This window comes from Homo sapiens, chromosome 18, assembly GCF_000001405.40.
Source record: "Homo sapiens chromosome 18, GRCh38.p14 Primary Assembly".
NCBI classification, from domain to species: Eukaryota; Metazoa; Chordata; class Mammalia; order Primates; family Hominidae; genus Homo; species Homo sapiens.
The window spans coordinates 80,227,780-80,240,040 of NC_000018.10; the positions used below are offsets into that span (position 1 = coordinate 80,227,780).

General features: G+C 48.4%; 1 protein-coding gene across 1 annotated transcript in view, besides 1 other annotated feature; it reads right to left on the reverse strand.

Annotated features, from left to right (window-relative positions):
- The window catches only part of PARD6G (par-6 family cell polarity regulator gamma), a 90,283-nt gene that overhangs the window by 70,548 nt on the left and 7,474 nt on the right, over nt 1-12,261 (reverse strand). The gene's annotated exons all lie outside the window — the stretch shown is intronic.
- Nucleotides 7-508: an enhancer, noted in NCBI's record as "H3K4me1 hESC enhancer chr18:77985669-77986170 (GRCh37/hg19 assembly coordinates)". NCBI's record gives its function as "activates a minimal SCP1, AML or CMV promoter by ChIP-STARR-seq in primed H9 embryonic stem cells {active_cell/tissue: H9 hESC(primed)}" and the evidence as "EXISTENCE:reporter gene assay evidence [ECO:0000049][PMID:30033119]".

Genomic DNA, 12,261 nt, shown 5'->3' on the forward strand with positions numbered 1-12,261 from the left:
AGACCCCAGAAAGAGAAGAGCATCTGAGAAACCCCATTCACGAGAGGGCAACCCCGGGAACCACCAGACCACCAGGGCTTCAGACCATTCACGAGACGTCAACCCCGGGAACCACCAGACCACCAGGGCTTCAGAAAGGCCAGGAGGTTCACAGAAGTGTTCTCTTGCGTGGCCGTGTCTCAATTTGAACTCACTTCTTTGAGCCAGGTAGAAACTTACTCATTGAACCCGTATTTTCCTGTGCTGGGCTGAACGGTGAAAGAAAAATATGGTCTCCATTTTATCCCCAAGAGAGCTCAGTATACAGTAGATACTAAAAACATTTACTAAACGACAGGTGACCAGCGTGAGGCAGGCCCCACCTTTGTTCATCTGAGGAGTGGTTTCAAGGCCTCTGAGCACAGCTGGAAAAGGGCCCGACCTGGTGCTCAGGAAGTCACATCCCACGGGGGAGACGGCAGCGAGCAGAGAGACCCCAAGTGAAAACTGCGGAAGCCGCCATGGGGAGGTGAGGGGAGGTGAGCGGAGGGGAGGCCAGGGGAGGGGAGTTCCCGGACACACGGTCCTGGAGAACACAGGCCACATGCACAAGGCCACCCAGGTCCCTCTACATTGACCCCCAGCCTCCTCAATCAGCTCTGCTGGGTGAGTCGCAGGCACCAAGTGCCCCTACAGCTCACATTGTCTGCAAGGGGTCCCCACCCCCACAAGGCCCGCCCACCCCAGGCTTGCCCCAAGGTGCGCAGACTGTCTCTCGTCTAAGGTCCCAGACACCACAGGGTCTTGGCCCCCAGGCCCACAGACTGCATCTCCTAAGATGCAGCCCTGAAGCCCCACCCCCATCCACAGACTGCGCCTCCCACCTAAGGCCCCGCCCACTGAGGCCCCATCCCCTGCCCACAGACTGCGCCTCCCACCTAAGGCCCTTCTCCACCAAAGACCTGCCTCACACCCCCAGGGGCCTGCCTCCCATCTAAGGCCCCCACCCCAGGCCTACAGGTGAGAACAGTGAACAACTGCAGGTGATCAGAAACAGAGACAGATTCCCACAGGAAATGTTCATCAAAATACTTATAAGGGTGACAAATGGAAACAGTAAGTGCATCAAACACATGAAAGCACATTTCCAGGTGGAGATATGATGAAGCTAACAGAAGTGGGACTTATTTTATTTTAGAAGACGGAGTCTCACTCTGTCGCCCAGGCTGGAGTGCAGTGGCATGATCTTGGCTCACCATAACCTCCACCTCCTGGGTTCAAGCGATTCTCCTGCCTCAGCCTCCCGAGTAGCTGGGACTACAGGTGCATGCCACCACACCCGGCTAATTTTTTGTATTTTTAGTAGAGATGGGGTTTCACCATGTTGGCCAGGCTGGTCTTGCACTCCTGACCTTGTGATCCACCCACCTCGGTCTCCCAAAGTGCTGGGATTACAGGTGTGAGCCACCACAATTGGCCAGAAGTGGTATTTGAAAAGGATTTAAGGGCTCAAGGAAGCCTTTACAATATAGTAAATTTAAAAACACACACACAAAAACACAACACCGAATCTGCAGCGAGGTCCCAGTTAGGTCAGAAATTACCTTGGCACAAAACAGAGCAGATGGGCAAGGCCCCTGGGCTGGGAATCCTGTCTGAGCCAGGAGCCCCCTCAGGCCAAGGAAGTCAGGACCTCTGGGGCTGGGCCCAGGCAAGGTCATTTCAGAAAGTTCTAGCTCCTGCTCCTTGAGGATGTTCCTTGAACCAGAAGCATTCCCTGGAGCCAGCTGGAAATGCTCTACACCAGACCCGGAGTCCAAATCTGCACTCTCATGGGAGTCAGGGCTCATGTGCACATTAAAGGTTGCACAACTGACCTGTCTTCGTGTAGCTGATGGTTTGCTCGAGCCAGAAGTTAGACAGTAATCCACACATGCAAATATGTAATTGCAAACTCTGAGAGATGCAAATGAAGACTGTAAAACACAGGCCCTAATTTAAACTCAGGGAATAAGGAGTGGAAATAACTGGGTGAAGCGTGAGGACAGAGAGCATTTCATCCCATGGCACAACCAAAGGAGCCTGGACAGCCCCAGGAATGAGGAGGGCAGTGTGGGCGGCCAGGCAAACAGGACTGTGTGTGTCTGAGATGCTCCAGGGACGTGTTGACACAGGGAGTTGGCTCCAGGACGTGCTGGGGGCCTTCAGGTGTCTCCCACATTCCCCCACGCATCCAGGTGGGTCATAGGGTCACAGTGTCACCATTTCAGAGGAAGAAGACCCTCAAGTCTCACTGTCAGGGTGGGGTCACATGCCCAGCTCTAAACCATTCACTGGCAGGGGCTGAGACTCGCCTTAGACTGTCAGAGCCCCTGGCCTACAGCAGGGTCTGTTGGGAGGGGATGGCGATGCTGGCCTACCATCCAAGCCCAGACGCATTCCAGCTGTAAAGGATCTCACGCGTGTGCATGGCAAACATGAGCTGCCTCAGACCTTCAAGCCGGGGAGCACCTGTGCACATCTGTGCCCTGTAGGAAACTAAGAAACACAGAAAGAACTCCATGTAGGAAAAGAGAGTGCAACAGGTCTTAAAGAAATACAGGCGGTCATCCTAATGAGGAACCTGTTGGAGCGTGGGACTCGGCAGTAGTTTGCTATAGAATGACTTCTTGGGCTGACACGTTGGGACGGTTTAAAATCGGGCCACACACCTATGAGTCAGATGAGGTGGAGCCTGGCGCCTGCCTAGGTGCTGTCCACCCAAGATCCAGAGTGATGATGGTGCAGCCGTTGGCACTCGCAGAACTGCCCAGACGAGCATCATGCCAGACTGTGCAGGGTGACGGCTAAACCCACTGTACCCTGTGGCCCCTCTGAGCACAGACAGTCCCTGCAGAGGGCCTGCCATTCTGGTTCATGCATGTGTTCTGGACCAATGCACCCAGCACTGCTAAATGTAGGAGGTGGGAGGGGTAGCAGTGAGGGAGGGGTAGCAGTGGAGGACACAGAGGTCTATGAACATGGTCTCCGTCCAGAAGGGATTTACCATACAGGAGAGAAGTCAGAGTCTCTGCCAAGCTTTGTGTGCATGCTCTCTGTAATCCTGATGGCAACCCTAGGGAGGTGTCACTGTTCCCACTTTACAAACCAGGAGACTGAAACCTAGAGGGGTTCAATAACCTGCCCATAGTCACAAGGCTAGTAAATGAAGGACCTGAGGCTGAATTCAAAAAGGGAATTTGGAAAAGACCTAAAGAGCTACAGTGATGGGAGAGAGAATTCCAAATGGAAGGTCAGGGACAAGGGGTGCCCTTTGTGAGAAGGAACACCCCAGGTGGGAGGGGATGCCCCTCATGGAGGGAATGGACAAGGATGGCCCATCAGCAAGGGAGTGGGATGAACGGGCCAGGGTTACTCCAGAAGCAACTAAGGGCTCAGGAGACTCTAGTGCTGAGAGGTAGGGCCAGGGGAAAGGTGCTGGGGGTTGGCCTGGGCCCAAGTGTGTGAGGCGTGAGCACAGGCTGCGCATCTGTCCCTGCCTTCATAAGACTTTCCTGAAAGGTAAATTCACTTAGGCAGAAGCCTCGAACTCCAGCCCGTGGAAGAAAGTGGGGTCCCATTCCGATGTGAGCTCATGATACATGGAGGAATTAGGCAGTTCTGCATCCGAGCTGTGCTGCCCACTGGGAGCGGCTGAGGGGATGCAGGCTGGGTCACTGGAGTTGTACAAATACAGACAGACAACATAGCAAAGCTGCAAAGAGCCAGGCTCTGAGTGGACACACCTGGGTTCCAATCCTCACCTGTACTGGCTGTGTAACTCTGGATAATTTATTCAACTTCTCTGATCCTGTTCCTCCTTCATAAAATAGATAAAAACATTCATCCCAGGGTTGTGGTGAGACTCTAATATGAACACATGTCCTGTGTTCAATATAGGCCCTGGTGAGCGAGTGAGACTCCAGCCAATGGGAGCAATTCACTCGCTCAACTTGCTCACCAAGCTGTTTGTTCTCCCCCAGGCCTAGAGACGGGTTCGGCATCTCACAGGCATCCACAGGGATGGCTGCCGAGCCCTTCTCAAAAACCCAAAGTTGCAAGCACAGTAAAGGCAGACCTCTTGCATGTATGGAGTTATAATAGCACAGGATAGTAAGCCTGTTTTGGGCTCACACTGTGGGCCTGAGCTGCTGGCAGATTCAGCCTTCCGGCAGCTGAACCACAAGCCCTAATCTCTGAGCAGAAGCCACTGCGTTCCTACACTTGTCCCTTCACTGCTGGCAGGTAGCTGTTTTTCAGGGCATTTTTAAAAAATGAAATAACCTTTTAGTAATTCCATGAGTGAAAAGCTGTGCTCATGAGTGTGACCAGAGCCAGCAGCTCTGGGTGGAGATAAAGAGTGGTAGGTTCTGCCCCCGCCCCCCAAGCCACACAATTCAACAGGCCTCTGCTAGGTGGTGTCCACACCAGGGACTGGGTGGGTGGGATGGGTCACCAGGAGTACTCTGACCTCCACTGCAGAAAGCCTACTGCGGGGCTGCTGAAGCAAGTGGATGAGGTGGCCAGGCCTGCAGTCCTGGGCCTGTGCTCCTTGCATGTATTAGTCCGTTTTCACGCTGCTGATAAAGACATACCCGAGACTGGGAAGTAAAAGAGGTTTAATTGGACTTACAGTTCCACATGGCTGGGGAGGCCTCAGAATCATGGTGGGAGGTGAAAGGCACTTCTTACATGGTGGCAGCAAGAAAAAAATGAGGAAGATATGAAAGTGGAAACCCCTGATAAAACCATCAGATCTCATGAGACTTATTCACTACCACGAGAACAATGTGGGGGAAACTGCCCCCATGATTCAAATTATCTCCCACCAGGTCCCTCCCACAACACGTGGGAGTTATGAGAGTACAATTCAAGATGAGATTTGGGTGAGGACACAGCCAAGCCATATCACTACACCTGCCCCATCTCCACCAGACAGACTGGACACAAGGCCAAACACGCCCACACCAGCATTCATGGGCAGGATCAGAGGCTCAGGCAGCTGAGGAGAGGGTCTAAGATGCATGAGGGCATTTAGGAAGCAGCCCATCCCTGAGTGGTGTCCTTCCTACAACCCACGGGGCCACATCCCTGGGGAACTGCTACCAGCTCATGGTGCAGGACAGGTGAGTGTGGGCTCACAGGTAAACCCTCCTGAGGGACAGACCTCCTTGCACACAGGGACCTGGGGCTGCTCATCTCCTGAGGAGTGGAGTGGGGCCTCCTCAACAGTGAGACCCTCAAGGGACAGAGCTCCACACACGCAGGGACCCCAGCTGCTCATCTCCTGAGGAGTGGAGTGGGGCTTCGTCAACATACCATTTATTTCAATTGCATCTCTCTGATGTCTGCTGCTCCTGTCCATGCAGACACACAGTGTCACCTTCCAGGCAAACTATCCTACCTCTGACAAAGGAGAACATTCATGCAAAGTTTTTAAACAAAACAAAGCCACCTGAGGAGGTACAGGATTTAACATTCAGCATCAATCACTCATGTGCCACCGCATAGCCGGTGACTGGAACCGGCGGGTCTCACACAGGACCCAGGAGGCCTGTCCCCACAGCTGGGCCTGCACTCCCTCTCATCCCTGCACCAGTACAGGTGCTGATGGGCCCAAGGTGACTGCAGGCCATGGGGGTCAGTGCCACTTCCTCTCCCTCATGAAGGACCACTTTGAAGCCAGAGAAGTTTATTTTGTCCCAAGGAAACACCCCCTTATTATTGCAGACACCAGCAAGGCATGAGGTCAGGACTGTGGGTGGAAAGCCAGTCAGGGAGGCCCCTGAGCCACGGGATACAGGTGCTAACATTGCTTTTGTTTCCAAATCCTCTAGAACAGCTGATCACCTAAAAATGACAGCTGTAACAGCCCCAAACTCCTTTCACAGCCTTAACCAGGAACCTCAGGGGCCTCACACCCGCACCCAGGTCCCCAGAAAGGGGCCTCTTGAGGGCTTATGCACAGGCGTACTGTCCATCCTGTCTCAGAAGCAAAGGCAAAAAGAGAGATCTCACACCTTAGAACTGACTGATTTATAACCCAGCTTTTGACAAGCGTACTGATGTGATAAGACAGAAAATAAATGCACCCATTCAGCAGGCAGGCTTTTAGGAGGAGCGGAGAGATTCACACAGTGCTCTGACGGCCCTCGAGACACAAAGGCTTCACGAACACCCTCCGAGTGTAGAAGGGATGAGCTGCCAACCAGGCAACCCAGGCACACCTCCCAGGCTGAAGGTGGAGTGGAAGCTCTTGGCCCTGCGGGTGTCCACAGCTCACCATGAGTGAAGCTGCTGTGAGGTCTTCATTCCACATGTCAAGTTCAGGCACGTTTTCCAAGAAAGATTGTCCAACTTTCATTGTACACAAAGGGCCCCAGCACAGCGATGTCCTGGACCTCTGGCACAGTGTCAGGCCTGTTCTCATCTCAGGTCCCAGCTTCTCCCACAACATCCAGCCCACCAGAGGGACCCCAGAGATTGATCAGCTGGTGTGAACTCAAGGAAAGCCAGGAAATGCATAAGAACAGCCAATCAAACCACAGAATTCGAAGAAGGGTTGTGAAAGCCCTTCACACATCAGCAGTAGGGACCTTAAATTCTGTAAGATAAAGGATCTTTTCTGATTTTGATTAATCCACAAATAGCTAATAAGTTGTGGTTCAAGGCCTCCAGGACCTACAACTGCCTCACCCCAAATCCAGACAGGGGTCACAGTCTCTGTGTACACCAGAGCCAGGAACAATCCCAATGCTGAGTCATAGGTAAGATCAATGACCGAGATCACCCCCATAGGGCAGACTTGCATCACTGAAAGCCAGTATTAGTGGGGCATGGTGGTGTGCACCTGTAGTCCCAGCTACTCGGGAGGGAGGCTGAGACAGGAGGATCACTCAAGCCCAGGTGAGTGACTGGTGAGACTCACCAGTCACCAAGTCAAGGTGACTGTAATGACAAAGAAGGCCATTACATAATGGTAAAGGGATCAATTCAACAAGAAGAGCTAACTATCCTAAATATATATGCACCCAATACAGGAGCACCCAGATTCATAAAGCAAGTCCTTAGAGACCTATAAAGAGACTTAGACTCCCACACAATAATAATGGGAGACTTTAACACCCCACTGTCAACATTAGACAGATCAACGAGACAGAAAATTAACAAGGATATCCAGGAATTGAACTCAGCTCTGCACCAAGCAGACCTAATAGAAATCTACAGAACTCTCCACCCCAAATCAACAGAATATACATTCTTCTCACCACCACACCACACCTATTCCAAAATTGACCACATAGTTGGAAGTAAAGCACTCCTCAGCAAATGTAAAAGAATAGAAATTATAACAAACTGTCTCTCAGACCACAGTGCAATCAAACTAGAACTCAGGATTAAGAAACTCACTCAAAACCACTCAACTACATGGAAACTGAACAACCTGCTCCTGAATGACTACTGGGTACATAACAAATTGAAGGCAGAAATAAAGATGTTCTTTGAAACCAACGAGAACAAAGACACAACATACCAGAATCTCTGGGACACATTCAAAGCAGTGTGTAGAGGGAAATTTATAGCACTAAATGCCCACAGGAGAAAGCAGGAAAGATCTAAAATTGATACCCTAACATCACAATTAAAAGAACTAGAGAAGCAAGAGCAAACACATTCAAAAGCTAGCAGAAGGCAAGAAAGAACTAAGATCAGAGCAGAACTGAAGGAGATAGAGACACAAAAAACCCTTCAAAAAAATCAATGAATCCAGGAGCTGGTTTTTTGAAAAGATCAACAAAATTGATAGACCGCTAGCAAGACTAATAAAGAAGAGAGAAGAATCAAATAGAAGCAATAAAAAATGATAAAGGGAATATCGCCACCGATCCCACAGAAATACAAACTACCATCAGAGAATACTATAAACACCTCTACACAAACTAGAAAATCTAGAAGAAATGGATAAATTCCTCGACACATACACCCTCCCAAGACTAAACCAGGAAGAAGTTGAATCTCTGAATAGACCAATAACAGGCTGTGAAATTGAGGCAATAATTAATAGCTTAGCAACCAAAAAAAGTCCAGGACCAGATGGATTCACAGCCGAATTCTACCAGAGGTACAAGGAGGAGCTGGTACCATTCCTTCTGAAACTATTCCAATCAATAGAAAAAGAGGGAATCCTCCCTAACTCATTTTATGAGGCCAGCATCATCCTGATACCAAAGCCTGGCAGAGACATAACAAAAAAAGAGAATTTTAGACCAATATCGCTGATGAGCATCGATGCAAAAACCCTCAATAAAATACTGGCAAACCAAATCCAGCAGCACATCAAAAAGCTTATCCACCACGATCAATTGGGCTTCATCCCTGGGATGCAAGGCTGGTTCAACAAGCACAAATCAATAAACGTAATCCAGCATATAAACAGAACCAACGACAAAAACCACATGATTATCTCAACAGATGCAGAAAAGGCCTTTGACAAAATTCAACAATGCTTCATGCTAAAAACTCTCAATAAATTAGGTATTGATGGGACGTATCTCAAAATAATAAGAGCTATCTATGACAAACCCACAGCCAATATCATCTTGAATGGGCAAAACCTGGAAGCATTCCCTTTGAAAACTGGCACAAGACAGGGATGCCCTCCCTCACCACTCCTATTCAACATAGTGTTGGAAGTTCTGGCCAGGACAATCAGGCAGGAGAAAGAAATAAAGGGTATTCAGTTAGGAAAAGAGGAAGTCAAATTGTCCCCGTTTGCAGATGACATGATTGTATATCTAGAAAACCCCATCGTCTCAGCCCAAAATCTCCTTAAGCTGATAAGCAACTTCAGCAAAGTCTCAGGGTACAAAATCGATGTGCAGAAATCACAAGCATTCTTATACACCAATAACAAACAGAGAACCAAATCATAAGTGAACTCCCATTCACAATTGCTTCAAAGACAATAAAACACCTAGGAAACCAACTTACAAGGGATGTGAAGGAACTTTTTCAAGGAGAACTACAAACCACTGCTCAATGAAATAAAAGAGGATACAAACAAATGGAAGAACATTCCATGCTCATGGGTAGGAAGAATCAATATTGTGAAAATGGCCATATTGCCCAAGGTAATTTACAGATTCAATGCCATCCCCATCAAGCTACCAATGACTTTCTGCACAGAATTGGAAAAAACTACTTTAAAGTTCATATGGAACCAAAAAAGAACCCGCATTGCCAAGTCAATCCTAAGCCAAAAGAACAAAGCTGGAGGCATCAAGCTACCTGACTTCAAACTACACTACAAGGCTACAGTAACCAAAACAGCATGGTACTGGTACCAAAAAAAGAGATATAGACCAATGGAACACAACAGAGCCCTCAGAAATAATGCCACATATCTACAACTATCTGATCTTTGACAAACCTGACAAAAACAAGAAATGGGGAAAGGATTCCCTATTTAATAAATGGTGCTGGGAAAACTGGCTAGCCATATGTAGAAAGCTGAAACTGGATCCCTTCCTTACACCTTATACAAAAATTAATTCAAGATGGATTAAAGACTTAAATGTTAGACCTAAAACCAAAGAAACCCTGGAAGAAAACCTAGGCAATACCATTCAGGACATAGGCATGGGCAAGGACTTCATGTCTAAAACACAAAAAGCAATGGCAACAAAAGCCAAAATTCGCAAATGGGATCTAATTAAACTAAAGAACTTCTGCACAGCAAAAGAAACACCATCAGAGTGAACAGGTAACCTACAGAATGGGAGAAAATTTTTGCAATCTACTCATCTGACAAAGGGCTAATATCCAGAATCTACAAAGAACACAAACAAATTTACAAGAAAAAAACAACCCCATCAACAAGTGGGTGAAGGATATGAACAGACACTTTTCAAAAGAAGACATTTATGCAGCCAAAAGACACATGAAAAAATGTTCATCATCACTGGCCATCAGAGAAATGCAAATCAAAACCACAATGAGATACCATCTCACACCAGTTAGAATGGTGATCATTAAAAAGTCAGGAAACAACAGGTGCTGGAGAGGATATGGAGAAATAGGAACACTTTTACACTGTTGGTGGGACTGTAAACTAATTCAACCATTGTGGAAGTCAGTGTGGCGATTCCTCAGGGATCTAGAACTAGAAATACCATTTGACCCAGCCATCCCATTACTGGGTATATACCCAAAGGATTATAAATCATGCTGCTATAAAGACACATGCACACGTATGTTTACTGCGGCACTGTTCACAATAGCAAAGACTTGGAACCAACCTAAATGTCCAACAATGATAGACTGGAAAATGTGGCACATATACACCACGGAATACTATGCAGCCATAAAAAATGATGAGTTCGTGTCCTTTGTAGGGACATGGATGAAGCTGGAAACCATCAGTGTCAGCAAACTATCGAAAGGACAAAAAACCAAACACTGCATGTTCTCACTCATAGGTGGGAATTGAACAATGAGAACACATGGACACAGGAAGGGGAACATCACATACTGGGGCCTGTTGTGGGGTGTGGGGAGGGAGTAGGGATAGCATTAGGAGATATACCTAATGTTAAATGATGAGTTAATGGGTGCAGCACACCAACATGGCACATGTATACCTATGTAACAAACCTGCATGTTGTGCACAAGTACCCTAAAACTTAAAGTATAACAAAAAAAAAAACAACTATTTTTTTAACCAAAAGTAAAAAAAATAAAAATAAAAACAAAAAACTGGTCTGGCGATAGAGACCCTAATAGTGGTTACCTCGGGGGTAGGTACTCACTAGAAAAGGGCATGAAGGAACCTTCCTGGATGCTGGAATGTTCTGCATCTTGACCACCAAGCCGTACACTTAAGATGAGTGTATTTCACTGTAATACACTCACTGAACACAGCAGACACTGTCGTTGGGCTAAGGGGGTCTGGGACAGCTTCCTGAACAGGCAGTGATTTGAGCCCTGAGGCAGGAAGGCAAGGCTGAACTTCCACTGGCAAGAGTAGGAAAGGATCGGCTTGCTGGGAGGTCACAGAATCGGGGGGCGGGCGGGGGAAGTGGGAGGTGACAGATAGACTAGTAGTTTCACGTAGGCCACGTGGGAGGGCCTCGGTGCCCAGGCTGAAAGCATCCTGCACTACAGTGGTTTTCAAACTTTTTAATCAGCGAAAGCCTTTTCTTCCCCCAAGTGAAATGCTACACATGTATCTCAAAACCAAGCAGATCTGCTCTGGTTGGGGCTGGGGAGTGGAGCCCTCCCCTCTTAGACTCCTCTGCCACTGTCTATGAAGTATGGGATGAGTGACTGATGTGAAGGGAGAATAAGGGAGAGGTGGGGCAGGGGCCAGGGTACAGGAGAGCTCGTCCTTAGACCCCAGGAACATGGGAGCAGCAGGGAGAAGAGGGGGTCGAAGGTACCTGATGACACAGCTGTACCAGAAGTGCTCTGGTCCAGCCACCCCATTCCCAGTGGGCTGGTCCTTGGAGCACTTGAGTGTGCCCAGGCAACTCTGCAAGAGGAAGTGTGTAGGGCTGCTGGTCTACAACAGGGGTACCCTGGGCTACACTGGAGGAAGAATCATCATCTTGGGCCACACATAAAATGCACTAATGACAGCTGATGAGCTAAAAAAAAAATTACCAAAAAAAAATCTCATAAAGTTTTAGGAAAGTTTATGAGTTTGTGTTGGGCCACGTTATTCAAAGCCATCCTGTTCCACATGTGGCCCATAGGCCATGGATTGGACAAGCTTGGTCTACAAGGAAGGGGCACAAGCACCCCTGGAGCTGCTGAGCTGGCAACAAGCAGGTTCCTGGCCTATCTCTGAGCACTGAGAAACTCAGGAGGTGCCAACAGCAACAGAAATAGCTATGTGGGCTTTTAATTTCCAAAGTACCTCACCTTTTCCCCTCAGCTACAGCACTAGTGCCACTTACCTTCACAGGATACAGAGGGCAAGGCCACTGACGCCTCTCAGGGATGCCCCGGCAATGAGCCAACTGGCAAATCAATGTATCAATACATTTTAATTGGTAAAGAAAAGAAGCTTATTTGGCTCACAGTTCTGCAGACTGTACAAGAAGCATGGTGCCAGTATCTGTTTCTGGGGAGGGCTTCTGGCTGCTTCTACTCACAGTGGAAGGTGGAAGGAGAGCCGGCATGTGCAGAGATCATGTGGCAAGAGAGGAGGCAACGGGGGAGGAGCCAGGCTCTTGTTAACAA